Source organism: Homo sapiens, chromosome 3, assembly GCF_000001405.40.
Source record: "Homo sapiens chromosome 3, GRCh38.p14 Primary Assembly".
NCBI classification, from domain to species: Eukaryota; Metazoa; Chordata; class Mammalia; order Primates; family Hominidae; genus Homo; species Homo sapiens.
The window spans coordinates 66997107-67018648 of record NC_000003.12 but is presented as its reverse complement, the minus strand read 5'-3'; the positions used below and the strand labels follow the sequence as shown (position 1 = coordinate 67018648).

Genomic DNA, 21542 nt, shown 5'->3' with positions numbered 1-21542 from the left:
CGCTTGGCTCTCACCCGGGCTCTTCTCGTTCCCTCTGTAAGTGCCTTGAGCGCTGACCGGTATTTGGGTGACTGCCAACTCCACATCTTCGCCTGACCTATCACCTTCATTCAGTTTCCTGTCTCCACACCCATCCTGGCTGTTTCTCGGCACAGTAATCTATACATAGTGATCCTCTGTCACTTGAAACTCAGCTCTTCCAAAAGTGAACTCACTCACTTTACATCCCAAACTGGCTCCTTGACCAGCAAGAAGGTCTGCAGTCCCAGCACCTCCACGTTCTGCCTTTGAATATAACCATTCGGGCCATCTTCCTGGGTCCCTGCTCACTAGGGAGTGGGAGGAAATTAACAGGTCTGCTTTCATTTACAGCTAAGTTTGATCCCTAAGTTTAACAACTCCTTTTCTGTTTCTTTGTTTCTTCAAAAGTAAAAGGGGGACAATGACAGATGGCTGCAGCACCGGTAGTAGGAACCAAAAAGATAACAGATACCAAAGCATTTCAAAAACTAGAAAGTGATATGCAAGAATAAGATATTAGTCAGTGTCTCATAGATATTATTTTTCACATGGGTCGTTGTTATCATATATGTAAGTATGATAGATATGTTTTGTCATGCAAAACAGGATAGATATATTTTTTCATGCTACCATGGAAATCAACCTCACACAGGTCAGTGCCCAGTAAAGTGTGGATAGCATTTTAATTTTTGGAATAGTAAAATGTAGATTAAAAAGAAAATTATAACCAATTTCTTAGAAACCTTCAAGAAGGATACACAGATACTGATGCAAGTATTTTGCTGTGTATCACATTTATATATGAATATAAAAACCTCGTGTATCCCGGAACTTAAATGAAATTTTAAAAAGGAAAAATGAGGAAAAGATATGAATAAACAATTCATATAAAGTGAAAAAAAAGCCTATATACACATATCAAAATTACTCTCCTCTTTTTTCTGCCTGCAGCTATAGGGTAAAGTTATAAAATAAAATTATAAAATCCTACCATGATTTTATAAATTGTGAATCAAAATTGCCCCAGGACATATACTTGTACAACTTGAGGTGAGATCCATGAAACTCCCCACTCACTGGGGCAGGCCCCTGAGTGATAGGTGTCATCTCCCTGTCATCTCCAGCTACACAAACACCAAGTGAGAGGACCCTTGTCCTCTTTACTTTCACGTATGCATGCTCTGATTAGCTCATCCATTCTTCTGCCTGTTGACTCCTGCCATCACCACACCCACCACATACTTTAGAAAGCACAGGATAATTGAGCCCTTATCACAAACCAGATGTTTTGGGTCAGGGGTGGGAACCATATTTGGCTCTGGGGCAAAGTAGCAAGAAGTTGCAAAAACTCTTACTATTTTCATTCTTTTTCAGAAATGTAAGAGGCTATAGAAAGTGTGTCTACCTCTCTCTGGGTCAGGATTTTCTCTTTTTTCACTCTGCTCCTATTTCTAGGGGTTTGTCTTTCATCAGTCCTGCCTCTTTGCATGTTTTTGCATATCCCTAATCTCTTTAACTTTTGGGGTTAACGGGTATACTGCAGAACTCTCAACCGGGAATAGTCTAGAAATGGAAAAGATTTTGACTTTTTGCAAGGATATTTCTCATTTCCCATTTTTATTGAAAAGGCCTAAATGTTCTGATTTTTAAAAAAATATTATTTCTCCAGCACCTCCACGTCTCAGAATCTCCTCACCTGCAGGCTTCCTGGGGAAGCACCTGCACTCTCACCCACTGACACCCACTCACATCCTCCACCTGCACCTTAATTCACAGCAATTGGTTTTCATCTCTTGCACTTGGCTAAAACCACTTTCTCATTTCAGATCTTCACATGGCTAGACCAGGAGCCTCTTACTCTCTGCATTTCATTTCTTCTCTTTGGATCTCATTCCTGAAGTTTTCTCATGCATTACTACTCCTTTGTGATTCTCCCTTCTTCTCTGATAACTTTTCAGTTGCCTTTCTTCTGTTCCTTCAGCTGAATTTCTTAAATTTTATTCTTAGCTACTTTCGCTTCTCATTTTACAATTTATCTTTGCACTAACTCATCCATTAACTCAAATTCAACTAAAACCAGCTCTGTGGATATGCCAGACTCCTAAGTTCCATCGCTAACCTTGACCAAGCTCTTGAGCTTTAAGAACAGTTGTCAGAGAGCACCATGGATTTCTTACTATCTCAGGTTCTCACTGATTACAAGGAAATACTCCCCTGCGTTGTGTGGGTTCCTGTTGGCATTTGCTCCTCAAGACTTAACTTTGGCTACTTGACATCGTAATCTAAGTGTTGGGATAAGATGTTTTGACCTTATCTTCTTATCCTTAAAGGATTTTGCAAGCATGTGTTTCAAGAACTGAACTATGTGACCGCAACTCTGTTAAATCCTGCTGTGAACTGAATGTTTCTGCCAATTCCGCCAAATTCATGTGCTGGAATCCTAACCCCCAATGTGATGGTATTAGGAGGTAGGGCCGTTGCGGGTGGTTAGGTCATGAGGGATCTGGGATTAGTACCTTTATAAAAAGACACTAGAGAGCTTGCTTTATCTTTCTCTTTCTCTGCTCTTCACCATGAGAGGATGCGATGAGAAGAGGGCCCTCACCAGACACAGGATCTGCCAGCACCTTGATCTTAAACTTCCAGACTCCGGGACTGGGAGAAATAGATGTTTGTTATTTAAGCCATGCAGCCTATGGCAATTTGTTATGGCAGCCTGAACTGACTAGGACAGGTCCTTATCTCTGAATGGGAACAGAGAACAAGATAAACTCTAAGGACAGGCCCTTGTCAGTTTGTAAAAATAGACAAGCCAAAAAGCATTATTTTTATTTTGCAGACAGAGGTTACAAGCCTTGTTTAAATTATTTTAAATACCATTGGTTTAATTTCAGTCCTTTAGAAATGCACAGTCCAGAAATGAAAGTGAGAACTGTGTGACTGTAAAACTGTAAAAATTGTTTTCATGCATGGCTTATGAGCACAATCAGAGTCCAAATGGCTACACTTTAATATATACTTTATATTAGCTATTAAGGAATATTGTTCTACAATGGTTAAGTATATCTAAAAGACTGCAGAATAGTCGTTAATAATTTCAACAAATTAATATTTAGGAAGTGTTCATTATGTGCTGTGATAAGGCACTGTGATAAGTGTTTCACATGCTTATTTGATCCTCAAAAAAACTCGATAACGTGGTAGATTATTAACCTGTTTTATGCATGAAAAAGTAAAGCTAGAAAAGGTAAGTAATCTACCTGCGGTCACGGAAAACACTATAATTCATGTTGACCAGACCAATATAAAATATTTAGAAAATATATTCCACGTTTTACTTAATATTATAGTGTTTGATTCACCAAATCATATAATTGTGCATATCCTTATGGAAGAGGAAAGAAAGGAGAAAAAGGATCTATTAAATCTCATTTCTAAAAAACTAGCCAATAGAAAATGTTCTGTCTATCCATGATAAGGATAATTTAAAATTATTACATTGTAATTTTCTATTTAGTTTTAGTAGCCTGGGAAAAAAAGTCTTAAAATGATTGATTTTTTTAACTTATATAATTTTAATTTGGTGCAAGAAATATGGATTATTAGGTACTCAAGAGTCAACATTCACTGAACTACATGTCAAATAATCCCATGGCCGTATAAATTATAAATAAAAGATACCTAAATATGATTAAGTATATAGGTTTTTAAAAGTGAGACTTTTTAGCTTATTTTTTAATTGTTAAAAAACATTATACATATAAAAGATGGCATAAGATATTTATGCATAACTGAAGAATCATTCAATCAAAAATATGTATTAGAAGCTTATTATAGGGGATTCCACATTTAGCACTGAAAATGTAAAGATCCTGGATGTTGTCATTCCTAACCTTGGAAGAAAAAGGTATTCAAACTGACAATCAATGACTTTTATTAGATCCATCAGAGAAATTAGGCTGCAGGGCAAATGTTACCCTGGATTAGAGGTGAATTCAGAGTCACAGTCCAGATCTGCTAACCTTGACCAGAAGTAACCAGAGCCGTAAACTGTAAGAACACTTAAATGGTCATTTTTGATGAATCGCTGAGGCTGAACATGGACTCCCATGAAAGTGGAAAACTCCTGGGAACTTCAGTCTTTTGGGGCCCCTACGCTTCTGTGGATTTTACCAACAGGCACTCTACCAGGTTCTCATGGCAAAGATCTGAGACAAACCTCCTAGTGGCTCTGACTAGGGGACAGGAAGAGTAATGATCATGAAATACACCCAGAACCTTTTCCATTTAAAAAGCATACTCTCCACGGAAAAACATTTTGGCAGAGTTCAACAAAAGCAGGGGGAAGAGCATTCCTCCCATCCCAAACCTCTCTAACCTTCTCTTCTCACCTAAAGGAAAAAGGATTTAATCAACATGGGTCAGGGCTTCAAAGAAATAAAATTGGGAATGGCACAGCCAGAAAGAGGATGGAGAGGGGAAAACCAAAAGCTGTACCACTAGAGAAACACCTGTGAAGATCACAGCCCCAAGACACAGGCCCACCAAACCACTGATATTTAATTAGAAGCTACTCACTTTACAAAGTTGAAGCAAAACACCCACTAACCTAGCATTCTAGATCCAGCAAAATTATCCTTGAAACATGAGAAATAAAGACTTTTTCAAACAAAAATCTGAAGGAATTCATGACCTGCAGATCTGTCTTGCAAGCAATGCCCAATAAAAGAAGTTATTTGGGCAGAAGAAAATTGAAACAGAACAGAAACTTAGATCTGCCTAAATAAATGAATACTGAAGGAATAAGTGAAGATGAAGTAAAATATCTTATTTTTTAAATATCAATTGATCTAAAAGTATGACTTTAATCATAACAATGTATTGCATGGTTATAGCATATGGATAACTAAAATGAATGACAGCAATGTCATGAGGGATCAGAGGGGAAAATTGGGAACTTTGTTCTAAGATACCTACACTACACACGAAGCAGTATAGTGTTATTTAAAGGTGGACTTAGATTAGTTTTGAAATGTATATTGTAAGTCTAATGCAACCACTGAAAAAAAAATTAAAGTATAATTGAAGTGCTAAGAGGAGATAAAATAGAATCCTATATAAAATGCTCAGTCAAAACCAGAGAAAGCAGGAAAATAGGTGAAAAAAAGAAACAAAGAAGAAGGGCAACAAATAGAAAACAATAACCAATATGTTAAATATTAACCCAACTATATCAGTACTCACTTTAAATGCAATGCTGGTCTAAACATACCAGTATTCTCACAATGGATATTAAAATAAGTCCCAACTGTAAGTTGTCTACAAGAAAGCCCTTTTAAGTATAAAGATTAGGATAGGTTAAAAGAGAAGGGATGGAGAAAGATAAATGAAGCAAACAGTAATTAAAAGAAAACTTGAGTGGCTATGTTAATTTCAAACAGAGAAGACTTCAGAAAAAAGATTATCAAGGATAAAGAGAAGCAATTACATAATTATGAAAGGGTATATTCCCCAAGAAGACATGATAAAAATATTTTGTACTAAGAAAATGAAAATACTAAATAAAATTTGTGGGATTCTACAAAAGAAATACTTAAAGGAAAATTTATAGCATTAAATGCATATATTAGGAAAAGAAGGCCAGTCACAGTGGCTCATGCCTATAATCCCAGCACTTTGGAAGACTGAGGCAGGCAGAACACTTGAGCCCAGGAGTTTGAGATCAGCTTGGGCAACATGGTGAAACCCCGTATTAACAAAAAAAAAAAAAAAAAAAAAAAAAAAAAATGAAAATTAGCTGGTCACAGTGGCGTGCGCCTGTAGTCCCAGCTACTCAGGAGGCTGAGGTGGGAGGATCTCTTGAGCCGTGGAGGTGACTGCAGTGAGCCAAGATTGCGTCACTGCACTCCAGCCTGGGCAGAGTAAGGCCCTGTCTCAAAAAAAAGAAAAGAAATAGAAAGATGAGTTATTAATACTTAAAGCAACCAGAAGAAAAAAAACTATAAAAATTAGAACAGAAATCAATGAAACCGAAAACACAAAACAATAGAGAAAATTCATTAGAACTAAACCTGGTTTTTTTTTTTTTTGAAAAGACCAATAAAATTGGTAATCCTTTAGGCTCCAAGACTTAACTGAAAATTCATTTCTTCCCACAAGCATTCATTGAGTGCCTACTATGTGCTAGGCATCAATCTAAAGTGCAACAGTGAATTAAAATAAATTCGTTGCCTTTGTGGAGTGTACATTTCAATGGGGGAAGACACATATGGAAAATAAAGCAGAAAAATAAAGCAGGAGGTATGATGGGGGTGGGGTTGGATGATCTTATTTTACAAAATGTGATCAGAGAAGGCCTCTCCAGTAAGGTGATGTTTTAATAAAAAAGAAAGTGAGTGAGTTGTCAAGATCTATCCAGCAAAAGAGACAGCAAGGGCAAAGTCGCTGTGGAGGTGCTCAGCAGGTTTGAGCAACAAGCAAGGTCAGTGTGGCTAAAATAGAGCAAGCCAAGTAAATGGCAACAAGTTTGAGAGGGGTGGATCATGTAAGTATGGAGTTTGGCTGTCATATGAAGGGAGATGGGAAGCCATTGGAAGGATCTGAGCAGAAGAGAAACATGATCTGACTTGTGTTTTAAGAGGATCACTCTGAGTACTGTGTGGAGAAAAGAATAGGTTATGAGGGGTCAAGGGTGATAGAAGGAAGACCAGTCAGTGGAAACTGCATTAAGTCAGATAAGATAAGCTGGCTTAGACTAGGGTGACAGTGGTGCAAATGGTATGTGGTCTGAGTCTGGATGTATTATGAAGGAAGAAGCAACGGGACTTTCTGATGAATTAAACATGAAATACGTAAGAGATTATATAGTGTGGGCATTTGTCCCCTCCAAATCTCATGTCGAAATGTGATCCCCAGTGTTGGAAGAAGTGGGGCCTAGTGGAAGGTATTTGGATCATGGGGGTGGATTCTTCATCAATGGCTTGGTGCCCTCCCTATGGTAATGAGCGCATGTGAGATCCCATTGTTAAAGAGACAGGAACCTCCCCCAACTTTCTCTGGCTCCCTCTCTTTCCTGCTCCCGCTTCACCCTCTGCCATGAGCTAAAGCCTCCTGAGGCCTCAATCTCAGGTATTCCTTTACGGTAATGCAAAGTGGACCAACACAAAAGAGTCAAACATAACAAGATTTTAGGCCAGAACAAACAGAACAAAGAATTTACCAATATAAGTGAACTAACTTGCTTTAGAATTTAAAAAGTATTATATACATAAAGTAGTTCATTTTTTACCAGAGGACAGGTATTCAATAGATTAAAATCTCATTCCATTCTATCATGACATAAGGTATTTCATGATTTTTTACCAGATTTTAATTCTGCAACACTCACTAGTCAGATATCACTTTGCAACACTGGAAGTTTTCAATCAGAAAAGGTTTTATTATAAGAAACAATGACATCAGGTAAAAATGCAAAAAATTGTGCAATTATGGCAAAATGTTTAAAAATATCTACACATTTGCCCCCACAGGACTACAGTACTTACTACATACCTGAGCACTGAACATTGAATTCCATTTTAAACTGCTTTACATAGGGAATCTGATTCCTTCATGATCACATCCATTTGTTCTCATGACCAATAAAATCAGCTTGATGCTTAAGCATCAACTTTGTAGAACAGAAAACAAAGATGGAAAATAAAGAATACAATTTCTACTTTCCTATAACATAGTTATACCCAGTCCAGTTTTCAATGTGTGACAAATATATAGGAAAGTGCTACATACATTCTTCAAATGCAAAAACAAAGTTAAAGTGGAACTGGCATTATGTTAGACCTACATTTTAATTCTGTAGTACCCATTGTGCCTTTTACTTAAGGTCTTACCACACTATGAAAATGCACCTTAAATATCTAAATATAAACCCACACATGTCACTAATCTTACTTTTCTAGGACCTCTTCTGAATCCATTTTAACAGTGGCAAAATATCCCAGCTATATAATTTAAACAAATAGTTCTTCATACAAAATTCAATATATATTCTACTCCCATAACAAATCCTAAGCCTTGCTTTTGACACACTTAACTTAGATCGTACCCTCCATACAAATTGTCATAGCCAAAAGATCAACTGTTGTGCAGGCTAAAAGAATAAATCTACTGTTGAATTAGCCACAGTATGTCATTCTCTTATATAACATACAGCCCATGTAAATTGCTAACTCAATGTTCTATGTCATGTTTTCAAGTAATACATTTTTCTAAATACACAAGATTGTCAAAAAGCGGCAGGAAATCTTATTCAACAAAGCTTTCAAAAATAAATTACATGAACATCTCTTGCAAAAAAATTGTTTTTTCTCTCTCCTCAGCAATGCAAAACTGTAAAGAATGATTTCTAAAATACACAGTAATAACTCCAAAACATCATGATGATAAAAACAAAAACAAAACAGAAGATAAAACTGGGGAGGTAAAAATGTTGACAAAGTTTATACAGAGATTACAGACATACTATCAACACCAATAAGAAGAAACCACATATCTAGCTAAGACTAGATTTTAAAATGTTAATTCTAGAAATGCTGTCCATTTTAACTTCTGCTTCAGAAAACATTCCCTACTTGTAGAGGTCTATGTAAAGCAGTTTGGAAAGTTTCTGAAAAACGAGGTATGTGATGCAAAGAGGCAATGTTTTCAATTTGTTTCACAGTATCACATTACAATTTGTGCAAGATTTTTAAAATACGAACCATGCCAGTTTGCTTTCAAGTGAATACAAATATTGTGATTGAGGGCAAAATCTGTCCTATGCTTATACCCTTTACGAATTACTCTAGGCTTAGTAAAACATGTTACTGATCCAAATGCCTGCCTTAGGTATACAAATAAGTTGGTTTATCCTTCATGTTAATATTCCTAACTGATGATTGTTAGAAATTTCATCAGTTAAATGCAAAAAATGCTTTAGTACCTAGAAAGCTATGGTTCTGTTCACTCACTCTTTTCCTTTTCAATCACCTTCAGCTAGAAGGAGGATTCCAACGTAAAAGTATTCATCACTGTTAAGTGCAAAAATGGAAAAAAAAAATGAGGTTTTAATTGTAATATGAAACTTAAAGACATTAAATTAGACCACTGCAGGAATTTTGTTTCTGGAAAGCAGAATTTTAAAAGTAGGTATAAAACTTCACATTATGCTCTGTGCAGAAGAGAAATAAGTTACCTTTCCTTGTACCAATAATGAATGGACAGGTAGATGGAAGAGAAGGTTGGGCTACAAATGGCCCATGTTAGTGCAAACTGGGTATAATGTTCCTACTATTCTAAGATTGAGTCCAGTTAGATGAATAACTGGCCATACCCTCCTATCACATAAGTAGAGAATCTTGTGAAATCACAAGAGTTCAACAGGTAAAGTACTATGGCCATGAAATCCACACCAATTTGAAAGATAGGCATAGGCTCAGACCATTTAAATCCATCTAGTTATACACATGAATTAAGTTAGACTAGCACCAGCCACCTGTGAATATGAGCACTTTTCCAGATTTTCACAAAAGAGACAGTGTTAGCACTTGAAAAAGTCATCGACAGAAAACTGCCACTTTAAAACTTTAGCTTAACTTAAAATTACATGGGAAATGGAAACAATCAGACTAAAAGCTCTTTCTGAGACTAATTTTTTCTTCGATCTACTCTAATAATAGAACACATTTAAATCTCAGTACACTTGAAAACAGTACACAAAAATAGATACATATAAATATTAAGAATGAGGATCTAAGTTAGTGCTTCTCTGTGTTAGAGAGGTCACAGCTAAAGTCCTAGTGATATTGCCTCAGATTGTTACCCGTATTTAAAATTAAAAGTCACATCAAACAAGTTTAGACGTCTTTACCCAATAATACCCTAAATGCTCTTATAAGAGTGCATAGTTGTCCTGATTCATCTGGTACCTCAGTTACTATTTATCACAAAATTATAAAATGAAATGATTAATTTTATGCCAGGAAAAAAAAATGCTGATAATTGCACTTTGTTATCTTTTCCTTACTGAAATGAAATGTCACAAGGATGAAGGAAAATCCCTCCCTACCCTGCAATCTTTAAGCATACCCATTTTCCATGTATAAAACTCTCTCAGCTTTCTGAAATACTGTCAGCACTCTTTTGTATCAAAGACAAGTTTCCTAAGAATGAGATGCCAGTGATGCACTAAGGCCTGCTACTCATTTAGAGTACTTTCTGAAGACACTGAGGATACAGTTTAGCAACAGCACATTCAAAATGCCGGCCAAGGTCCCAGAGCCGATCTGGGGTCTCATACACTTTCATCCACTGGTCAGCAATGTCATCATATTGGTAAAGGGAATTTTTTCTGCTGGTTCTGAAGACGTGTTCTTCAACAGTCACTTGAGTAGCTCGAACAAATAAATGGAGTTTGTTCTGGAAAAGTACCAGTTTAAGGTATGGATTTATGGACTGATCACATGGAAAGTCTTTCTTACGAGTCCATTTATTTAGCTCAATATCATAGGCTTCTACAGTAAACATACGTTGATGATTTCCACAGGTTCCAGCTATGTAGTAGATAGAGTCCTTGTATACAGCTGCTAAGCCCTGGATTCTAGGCACAGTCATGGGGGTTAAGAAACCCCAGTAGTCTTTTTGAGGCTCATAGAAGAGAAAAAATTCTCCTAAAAAAAAAAAAAAGAAAACAAGAATATGTAAATTTTTATGTTTGGTTTTTGGTTATATGTTGTAACTACAACCTCTAAAGATTAAAGGGCATAATTTGCTATATATTTCACTTTCTAAAACATTTCTTTTATAATCTCCAGAGATACATTCATATGGGTTACAAAATACCTTAAAACTTTGTCATTCCATGACACAATATAACAGATAATATTATAATCAACCTGAATTGGGAGGTTTGTATTGGGAAGGTACAAGGAGTTACTTGGGCTTGATGGCAGAATTGTTAAGAGCTTGATTCTGGCCAGGCACAGTGGCTCACGCCTGTAATCCCAGCACTTTGGGAGGCTGAGACGGGTGGATTACTTGAGGTCAGGAGTTTGAGACCAGCCTGGCCAACATGGTGAAACCCCATCTCCATTAAAAATACAAAAATTAGCCAGGTGTGGTGGCAGGCACCTGTAATTCCAGCTACTCAGGAGGCTAAGGCAGGAGAATCACTTGAACCCAGGAGGTGAAGGATGCAGTGAGCCAAGATCACGCCACTGCACTCCAGCCTGGGTAACAATGTGAGACTCCATCTCAAAAAAAAAAAAAAAAACACAAACTTGATTCTATTTGCTCTATCCAATTTGTGTGTTTATAGAAAATTCATTTTACTCTAGCTCTAAAAAAGCATTATTAGTAACGTTCAGCCAGTAAGACCAAAATGCATACATGTAACATCATCATAAATATGCCATGATAAATGTGTATGCTATTTAATTAGAAGACAGCAGATGGAATTGTGCAGATTTATGCTTATGGGTCACTGATGTGCTTACCTGAATGTTGCTATAATGCAAAGAGAAATATTCAGCAGGAGAAAACATGACTTTAATAAGATAGAAAACACATACATGGTTTGTGATGTTGACTTTGAGTCAGTTTCTATTTTGATTTGATAATAAAAAGGTATGCTGAGTCAGACTGCCAATATGAAAATGTCTGAAAGAATTAAAGTAGTGAAGATTTACAATAGTTTTGCTAATTATAGCATTTGTTTAAAATCTTTGTAATAAAAATCTGAACACTTTATGAACAGATTAAATGATACTTCAATAGCCACAGATAGTACAACATAAGCTTCTGACTATGCATGTCAGGTTTATTTATGTAAAGAGGCTTTGTTTAGATTAGAAATACCAGATTCTAAATTGAGCTTCCCCTTGAAAACTGTTTTGAACTAGGGTTACTCTTATCTACAAATTCAACTACGTACTTCGTAACAGTGATGCTTTGCCTTCAACTAACTTAAAATAGCTTGTAAAGCTCCCAGATTTGCTCGCACATCATCTGCCCTTATTGCCTAACTTGTAACAGGATTCTCGATAAATAAGGTAGGAAATTTAAACTTTGTAATGTGTGCTACTTCTCTATAAATTTCTTATAGATAAGAAAGTAAAGACGACACACCAAAGAAGTTGAATGTTAAAATCTAAAGTACTCTTTAATAAAAGTTAAAGCTAATAATATGCAATTAAGAAACCCTTAGGGCTTCAGAGTCCTCTTATATAAAATATAACCTCAAATTAAATGATGTTAATAATTCCAGCCCTGAAATTCTATTAATTCATTGCTAGTTTGCTTTAGTATTTGCATTAATATACAAACTTCACATTCCAAATAGGAATCTAATTCTACCTCTACCAACTAACAGTTAGGCAGTAAGACCAAAATACACACATACACAGACAGCTTCATCATACTGGATGACATAACCTATCCAAGTATACTGGACGGATCATACATCCATTCTTATATTCCATTTTTCCACAAGACAGCAAACCCAAATCATGGCCTGTGCTTCTATTTAACTAAAATAAGGAACCAGAGAGTACAACTCCTTCTGAGGAATTAACTTGACACTGAACTTAAACAAATGAGCTCAGATATTACTAGGAAATTTTTAGTTAAATAAAGGATTAGAGCAAGGAACACAATTTTTAAAAGAAAACAATGGTGGGAGGCCAAGGTGGGTGGATCACTGCAGGTCAGGAGTTCAAGACCAGCCTGGTCAACATAGTGAAACGCCGACTCTACCAAAAATAAAAAAATTAGCCAGGCATGGTGGCAGATGCCTGAGACTGAGGTGGAAGAATCATGTGAACCCAGGAGGCGGAGGTTGAAGTCAGCCAAGATCATGCCACTGCACTCCAGCCTGGGTGACAGAGTGAGACCCTGCCTCAAAAAAAAAAAGAGAAAGAAAGAAATGAAAGAAAAGAAGGGAAGGGGAAGGGGGAGGGGAAAGAAGAAAGAAAGAAAACAATGGGATAAGGGCAGTCATGCATCAATTAATGACAGGGACATATTCTGAGAAATGCATCATTAAGTGATAGTTGTCCTTGTGGGAAGAACATCATAGAGCATACTTACACAAACCTAGATGGGAGCTTACTACACACCTAGGCTACAAAACTGTACAGCATGTGACTGTACTGAGTACTCTAGGCAACTGTAACACAATGGGAAGCATTTTTGTATCTAAACATATCTAAACATGGAACAAGTACAGTAAAAATATGCTATCATAATCTTATAGGACCACCATTGTGTATGTGATCCATCATTGACCAAAACATTACATGGCACATGACTGTATATCTTCATAGAAGCTGCTCCTTTTCCTTAAGTAGTAGTGTGAGAAAAACATCAATTAAGAGACACATACGAGGAATAAGGATGTTGCTATTATCTACACTGCATTAAACATTCAAGCAACTAAAATGTGTAAGAAACCAAATAAAAGGAAAATAGTTATCACAAATCAGAGCCTTGAATCAAATGTCTTATTTACTCTGACTCAGTCACTCTACCTCTACTGTATTTTTGCCAAAGTAGTAGTCCTTAACAGTTAAAAAAACAAACAGAAAACAAAACAAAACAAACACTACATATATCAGATAGTCCCACTTAAAATGGCAAACCAAAAAAAAGGGACATCTCAAAGTTTTCCGGTGAAAAAAATTGAAAATGTATTATGAAAGGCAACATAAACAGCAGTGAAGGTGAAACTTGAAGACCATACTTCCAAACTCTTTGTAATTAAATTTCATAATTTTTGCAATAATAAGGCTTATATAAAACTCTTTGGTAACTAAATAGTATAACTTAATTAATGCTTTGTTCTTTTCTCTTTTAAACTAATCCAGTAAATTCCACAGAATACCAGTTGCTACAACATCTCAATTTTACTCAAGAGCAAAAACAGCCATGTAACAACCTTGCTATTTATTTCAAGTCCTACAAACTACTCTGAAATAGTTATCCCAAAATGCCGAACTATTATTTATTAAAGAATGTTTTCAAAAATAGTTATTCTACATGATATCAAGACACAAAATCATTAAAAATTATAGGATTATTTTAGTAATTTAACAATACCTGCCTTTTTTTAATTCAAGAGTTTATTTTCTTTATAGCTCTTTACAGAACAGACTGTTCCAATAGTTTGATAAGGAAGCTGGAGGTATTCCTCAATTAACGGGAACACAACTGTTTCAGTATAATTAAGTAAACCACCACTTGATGTGTTACCCTTCCATGAAAAACTAAATCACTTAGGCACCTACCCTGTAAAACATAGATCTTCTCTTTGTACTCCACAGCATTATGAAATTCCATTGCAACTGGCATCGCGCAAACAGTCGTCCAACAATTCTCTCTACTGTCGTAGCACTCAACAGATTTTAGTGAGTTTCTCCCATCACCTTCATAAACACGACCTCCGATTGCATACATTTTACCACAGCAATAGACAAGTTTGCAGCCTATTCTGGCTCGAAGCAAGGATGGTTTGGATAGCCATCTATTGGTGGAATGATCATACATCCAGAAATCATTTTCTGCCTTATGGTCGATGGAGACCTCACTGCTGCTTGGCCTGTACCCTCCTGCAATGTAAATGTCATTATCTGGTGATACAAGAATCCCAACTTCTCTCAGGTCATTTGGTGGTTTGCATAGTTTAAACACCCTTCCTGTGACTATATCTAGACAAGGCACTGTTTGCTTCTTTCCTGAGTGTTTGTGGGCAGCATCAAAACATATGATCATTTCAGAAGCAGTCATTCCAAGCCTCTGTGTACAGCCATTGGTGTTGGATGGTCCCTTTTCTACACAGCTTTTGGCTATAGCCTGTGCAAACTGAGGTGGAATTTTCTCTATAAAGGTATCTTCCATCAGAGGAAAACGTATGCATTTAGCAAAAATTTCTGGAAGGTGCACTTCTCTTTCATTCTGTTCATGCTCAAACCACCTTATAATGCTTTCATAAACATGCTCTTCTCGGTCTACATTTAAATCGTCACTGTCTAGTATACTTATCAGTTGGTCTTTTGTCAACTGGAGAAACTCTTGTTCTTTGGTGACACACAGAAACTTTTTACGAATGTATTCTTTTGATCGATCTCCGAGTTCCTGATGACCATAATGATCAGCAAAGATAAAGACCCCAATAGAATTCTGTGGGTCCAAATGACTGATCATATACTTAGCACATTGGTCTTGGATGGAAGGAATCTGGAAGATGCTAGCTGCAGTGAACAAGGCTTGAACATTGGCCTCTGTAAGAATAACTCTGGAAGTGTAGGCATAGTTCAACACTAAATCCATCGATTCAGCTTCAACACCAACTATTCGAACTTCTTTTTGAGTACTTTCTGTAAGGCCGCTAGTGAACATGGATCTAAGAAGGAAAGAGTGGTTAATATTACACGTGTGCTATAAATCAAAATTATTGTGGCAAGATTTTAAAAGTACAAAGTTACCACAAAGATAACCTTTTGAAACAGAATATTTCCTAAAATAGTCCCTGATATTCTGAATAGGAGTAAAAATTGATAATGTATCAGAAGGATTTAGTCTGGCTAACCTCAAAACCCATATTCTCAGGGCTAGCTCGCTGTGTGCCAACTATGAAAAAAGGAGAGTACACCTAAGTAAATGCAAATCAAAAGGTGACACACATATTCCAGGTCACTTTATTTTCCTAGAAGCCCCTATCCAGAGTTCTGGTCAAGTTGCCTTAGGGACATCAGATCTTAAATTGGGCCATGCCAGTCAGAAAGCTTAAGAATACTGGCCCGGTGTGGTGGCTCATGCCTGTAATTCCAGCACTTTAGGAGGCCAAAGTGGGTGGATCACATAAGGTCAGGAGTTCAAAATCTGCCTGGCCAAGACGGTGAAACCCCATCTCTACTAAAATAAAAAATTAGCTGGGCGTGGTGGCACATCCCTGTAATCCCAGCTACTCAGGAGGCTGAGGCAGGAGAATCGCTTGAACCCGGAAGGCGGAGGTTGCAGTGAGCTGAGTGCCAGCCTGGAAGACAGAGTGAGACTCCATCTCAAAAAAAAAAAAAAAAAAAAAAGAATACCTATAAAGGTATCAACATGATACATTAGCATACAAAGAAACAACCTAATAAAAACTTTTCATGTCCTGGTGAAAATTACAAGGCAACTTGTATCCAAAATATATCTTTAAAATGTTCATCTTAGAAAAGCAAGAAGTTCTTTAAAAGTACATATTCTCCACCTACTCCTTTTTAAAACTGTCATCTTTTGAATGCTGCCTTAACCATTATAAGTAATATAATAATCACTTCACTTACCCTTGGAAATTTTGAGAACATTTGCTTAAAAGGAAATACTTCATTTTCTCAAAGATACCATATTTTACCTACCTAAATCTAGACATAAATAAAGATTATGGTAGAGTCAATACATAATGCCTGTTTTAAACAGAGTTTAATAGTTAACTGATTCTTTGAAGATAATGGTTTTTAAAACCCCAAACTTTTACCTTCGAGACCAAGTTGGTTTTTTCTATTATTAAAATATTGTTGCATTTATGGGATTTTCTTGACCGAAACATTAAGCAGCCTGGCTCTTTAAGTATTAGTCACTTGCAAACATCATTTGCCTTTCTTTTCGCTCCTTTAAAGTTTCATTCTAGATGATCCAGACTCATCCTATTTAATTTTTGTGATCTTATGAAAAATGAATTGCAAAGATTTCCAGTCACTTAAAAAATATCTCTCAAATTCATGGAATTAATTTTAAAATGCAGTATGAGAAACACTGGAGGTACAAGGACTCAACTTGCTGCCCAGGTTAATCATCTTCGAGTCCTGTTTTTACTTCTACAATGTACATTTTAATTTAGTATCACACTGGCTTTTTTGATGACTAAAAACTAGATGTTCCTACGTATGTGCTGGTTTTCAATTCAGGTGCTGAAAGACTCACCGATACAGCTACCAATTAAAAAGAAAAATAAAGCCCTGCATTAGGGAGACATTAACTCCCAAAGGAAGACATTACCACATATCCCTTTATCATGGGAACTACTGCTGACTTGAATAGGCTCATCTTACACACAGGAGTGGTCTCACACTTCATGAGTTTTCCTCTGTTCTAGTAAGTTCTTCATGTAAACTCAACATAAATGAAGCCAGGGCACTTCCTCACACAAAATCCAGAGCAGCAAAAAATTTCTAATAATCATACAAATTTCAATTCTGATGAGTTACTGGTATCATGAAACAGCCATTCCAGATTTCCAGCCGTTCTAATTCTTCCACTAGTGATGCAAGACGTAGAAACATTAAGTACGATTTTCTACATCCCACACAGGAAGCAGCGCTGGTACCAAGAAACTTCAGTACAAAAACCTCTAGCAAGAGATCAAATTCTAATCCTTGAGGTTTCTAGCCAAATATCTTTATTTCAATGCACATATCGTATCCCCAGAAAATTTCTCAAGTATTTTTTACTCCTTTTAAAAATTGACTTAACAAAATTAAAGAATTTAAGATTTTAAGGAATCAAGAAAATTAGAAATCTATCATAGCATACTTCTTTTAAAGTAAAATTTTTTTCCAGGTCTTCAAAAATAAAAAATGAAACTGCAAGGTGAAAATGTCATACTTATGTAAAGTTACTAATAAGTATACTTACTAAGTATTATACTTAATAAGTATACTTAATATGTATACATATATCATATTTATTATGTATGCTTACTAAGTATTATACTTAATAAGTATACTTAGTAAGCATACATAAGTATGACATTTAAATGATATAATCCAGATTATTAAATTTCAGTAAGATATAGACATTTTTACTTTGCAGTTTTTGTTTTGTTTTGTTTTGTTTTTGTTTTTACTATTCAAATGCAATATACAATAAAAATGTTTTAAAGGAAACTGTACCAACTCTTGTTCCTTAAGAGTCATATGGCTACTAAGAAGCCTGGCTCTGTAATCAAATGTAGCCTCTGCCATTTACTTGTTGGATAGATGATTTAGGCAGGTTATTAAAACTCAATCTCACTGAGCCTCAGCTTCTTCATAAGTAAAATGGAACAACAACTATGCAGAGATAGGATTATAAAGATTATATAAGGCAATACATGTAAAGTAAGCTTAGCCTAGAGCTTGATAAGTAGTAACTGTGACATATATTTAAACATACAAATGACCTAACCATATCTAATAGATAATCTGGGTAAGTGAATCTCACTAGAAGTTTCCATTACCAGGCCAAACTTCATACCTTCTGCATATGTGAGTTTTTTTTTCTTTCCAGCTCACTGTCTTGCGATGATTAATACTTAGTAGTCCAATGACCTACCCTAGGCAAGTCTAAACGGTTACATCACAAGCATCAGACTGAAGTGACTATATTTAACCCAGTATTCTGAGAAAGAGGAACCAGAAACTACTGTTGGAACATTATATGGTTATGTGCCCTATAAAGGTAAGCACCTTCAAAAGGAAAAATCACATTCAGAGTGTGGTTGATAACTTTACTATTATTTATGCACCACTTGTGAATACTGAAAGGCTTAAAGTGAGCATTTGACACAAAAGAAGTTAAGCCCATGCAGAAAACTGCCTTTTCCACTCATCTTAAAGTAGGAAGTTATTTTTCAGACCCAAGTTTTTAAATTTTACTTTTAAAAGTTTTATAGTAGACAATATAAGTAAAAACAAAAACTTCGTTTAACATACTTCTAGAAATCTTGGATATTATTAATTTGGGGCCTTAGGCACAAAGAAACTATATTCATTCTTGCTTTGACCCCCATAGCATTTAAACAATCTATTGAGTGGTAATTTGTTTTTGAAGGAACATGCTACATGTTTTAAACTATTTTATAAAAGAGTCCCATACACTAAAGAAACATGCATTATGGATAACTTTTTGAAAGAAATTCTAGATCAGCACTGTCCAATAAAATTGTCAATGATGAAAATGCTGTATTTCTGTGCTGCCCAATATGGCAGCCACTAGCTGCAGGTGACCAGCAAGCACTCAAAAAGTATTTAGTGTACCTGGGGAACTAAATGTTTTATTTTATTTAACTTATAATTTAAGTTTAAACAGCCACACATGGCTACTGGCTTCCATACTGACCAGCACAAGTCTAGATTTTCTGGTCATTTACCTCAAACACACACACACAGGCCCACTAACTTAAAAAGCAATCACCCGAAATCTAGAAGAATCCCTCAAGTCAAAAGAAGGTCTTAGTTAAGAGAGGACTTGTTTTCTAGTCTCAAGAAACAAAGTCATTGGTTTCATTTCATTATCGCATCTCAATATAAACATCAAGTGGACAATACTGAGGGGGAAAGGGAGCTTGGTGCAGATACCAACAGAAGTTCCTACCATCATCATACCTGAAGTAAGGGCTGATTGCAGCAAGAACGTTTCTATGACAGGAAAATGTTTTCCCGTGATCCACTTCCACTACAATGTCTGTCAACTGTCCTTCATCGTACATTGTTTTGAGTTGCTTAAGAATACTGCAAGCATGGAAGGGGTCCATGGCATCGCTGGCTGGGTCTGAAGATGGAATCCCATTCGGTGTTGGGGAAGACTTACTTAAATCTAGGAGGAGAAAAATCGTACAACTACAAGAAGTGCCGAGCCAGTTACGGCATCGCGGGATTTTTCTGTTTGTGTGTCTGCTTGCTAGGCTTTTTCCCCCTACAAGATATATACAAATGTCTGTGGATATACGCACGACCTCGTGGGACCGCGAGTTAAGGATCTGGGAGACAGAGGGCGGAGCGCGATCGGCGGAACAAGTTCAAAGGCCAGCCTGCTCCTGCGGAGCCCGGCGAGCCCGGCACCCGTGCTCGCGGAGGAAACGCGCTCGCAGCCCAGGAGAGGCGTCTGCGCGGACTCCGCCGAGAGCCGAGGGCAGAGCCTCACGAGGGAAGCTCGAACAACGGCGGCCGCCGGTGCCCCCTCAAGCCGCCTCCCGCTGCCTCCTGGGGCGCAGCGCCGGCGGGTACCCAGCCTCCCCATCCCGGTCCCGCCGGACCGCCCACCGCCCTCCGCACCATTCATCCTCCCTCTTCTCATTCCCCTCCACCGCTTCATCCTTCCCTCTAGCTCCGCACCGCTACGTCCTCATCCCACTGCCTGTGGCCGGCCCCGGCCCACCTTCCCCCTCACCTCCCTCCACGCCGCCCTGGCCACCACACGACCCACCTGCCGACGCGGCCATTTCTCGATGGGGCCCCGACTCCAGCTATTTAAAAAGGAAATGTCATTTCGCTTCTCTAGCTCCCGGGTTCCGGCTCTTCTAAGCTTCCCCTGGCCAATGGGGTGTCCTGTGCATCTGGCTCCACCCCTAGCCTCCGAATTCCTGGCGCTGATTGGCCACGACGCGAGCACATGCGTGTCGGGAAATGTAGTTTGATTGCCCCGGCTCCCGCGTGGTCCGGGTCGGGCGGAGGCCCAAGCCGGGAATTCCTATTGGCTGATTCGGATGGAGGTGGAGAGCAGGGAGCTGGCCAGCCTGTGGCCGTCGAGCGCGCAGTGCCTGCCGGGAGAGGTAGTCTTCTGGCGGAGGAGAACTGTCATTCTGAGGGGCTGGGGTAGGGAAAGCTCTTCAAGTGCGAATTTCCCCATTTTAGGCCTCTCTCCTGGCCCCCGGCACATTTTTTTACCTTTTTCTTCTTCCGTAAACTTCCTGCCAGTGACTAGCTTCCGGTATGAAATCAAGCTCTGCGTGAGAGCTGTAAAACCAGAAAAATGTGGAAATGGACAGGAGGGCTGTTGTCCAAAAATGCAAAGGAAATCTGACGTCCCACCCTGAAGAAAAATATCACAAGGCCCAAAAGCAAGGCGTCTCTGATGAGTCACCTATGACACCCAATTGAAATAGCATCGCCTTGGCCGGGTGCTCTGGTTTCCACAGATTAACTTGGTCTGGTTACAGCGGCTGCTTAGGATCTTCAACTCCCACTGGTGCCTTGCTTTTCTAGCACACCCAGAGAACACCTGTTCCTCACGTGAACATTACAAGGGGATCCAAGATGCTTTACTTTTTGCTCTTGGGAAATGGAGGGGATACAATACTAAGTATTCCGGAATTTCCTTTGAAAAAATACCGGAATGCCCTGAGCCCGGAGCCAGGGATGATTACTGAAGCCCTGGCTCTTTAGTCACTATATGTGAGAACTGACATAAGACCTTTCAACCCCTGAGCGCTTAGATCCTTCATCTGTAACGTGAAGTAATAGTAATCCGTACTCCATGGATTTCATAGGCTGCAACCTTTTGGAAAGAAAATCAAAATTTTACTGTTGACGAATTTTTATTTACTCATCTTGTGTTTCTAACATCTAACGGGGTGCCTGGCACATTATAGATGTTTCATATTTTAAAAATAAATGTAAGGTGCAAATGAGCTAACATTGGGAATGCTATTTCTAGATGTTAAAATGTAAGGAAGTATCAGCGAATGGGAA

At 37.7% G+C, this 21542-nt stretch overlaps 1 protein-coding gene across 2 annotated transcripts, besides 4 other annotated features; it reads right to left on the bottom strand.

Moving 5' to 3' along the window:
* Positions 206 to 255: an enhancer, noted in NCBI's record as "active region_20047". NCBI's record gives its function as "activates an Ori minimal core promoter by ATAC-STARR-seq in GM12878 lymphoblastoid cells {active_cell/tissue: GM12878}" and the evidence as "EXISTENCE:reporter gene assay evidence [ECO:0000049][PMID:35858748]".
* On the bottom strand, positions 7439 to 20342 carry KBTBD8 (kelch repeat and BTB domain containing 8). Of its 2 annotated transcripts, NM_032505.3 has the most exons (4): positions 20278 to 20342; positions 19458 to 19668; positions 14340 to 15454; positions 7439 to 10727 (listed from the first exon to the last, which is right to left on the bottom strand). In NM_032505.3, the coding sequence occupies exons 1-4, from the start codon at positions 20291 to 20293 to the stop codon at positions 10264 to 10266; spliced, it is 1806 nt and encodes a 601-aa protein (NP_115894.2). In that variant the 5' UTR covers positions 20294 to 20342; the 3' UTR covers positions 7439 to 10263. The 2 variants fall into 2 exon arrangements, with proteins under 2 accessions (NP_115894.2, XP_005264828.1); XM_005264771.4 differs by lacking the exon at positions 19458 to 19668.
* Positions 18522 to 18621: an enhancer, noted in NCBI's record as "active region_20046". NCBI's record gives its function as "activates an Ori minimal core promoter by ATAC-STARR-seq in GM12878 lymphoblastoid cells {active_cell/tissue: GM12878}" and the evidence as "EXISTENCE:reporter gene assay evidence [ECO:0000049][PMID:35858748]".
* Positions 19925 to 20244: a silencer, noted in NCBI's record as "silent region_14509". NCBI's record gives its function as "represses an Ori minimal core promoter by ATAC-STARR-seq in GM12878 lymphoblastoid cells {active_cell/tissue: GM12878}" and the evidence as "EXISTENCE:reporter gene assay evidence [ECO:0000049][PMID:35858748]".
* Positions 20585 to 20684: an enhancer, noted in NCBI's record as "active region_20045". NCBI's record gives its function as "activates an Ori minimal core promoter by ATAC-STARR-seq in GM12878 lymphoblastoid cells {active_cell/tissue: GM12878}" and the evidence as "EXISTENCE:reporter gene assay evidence [ECO:0000049][PMID:35858748]".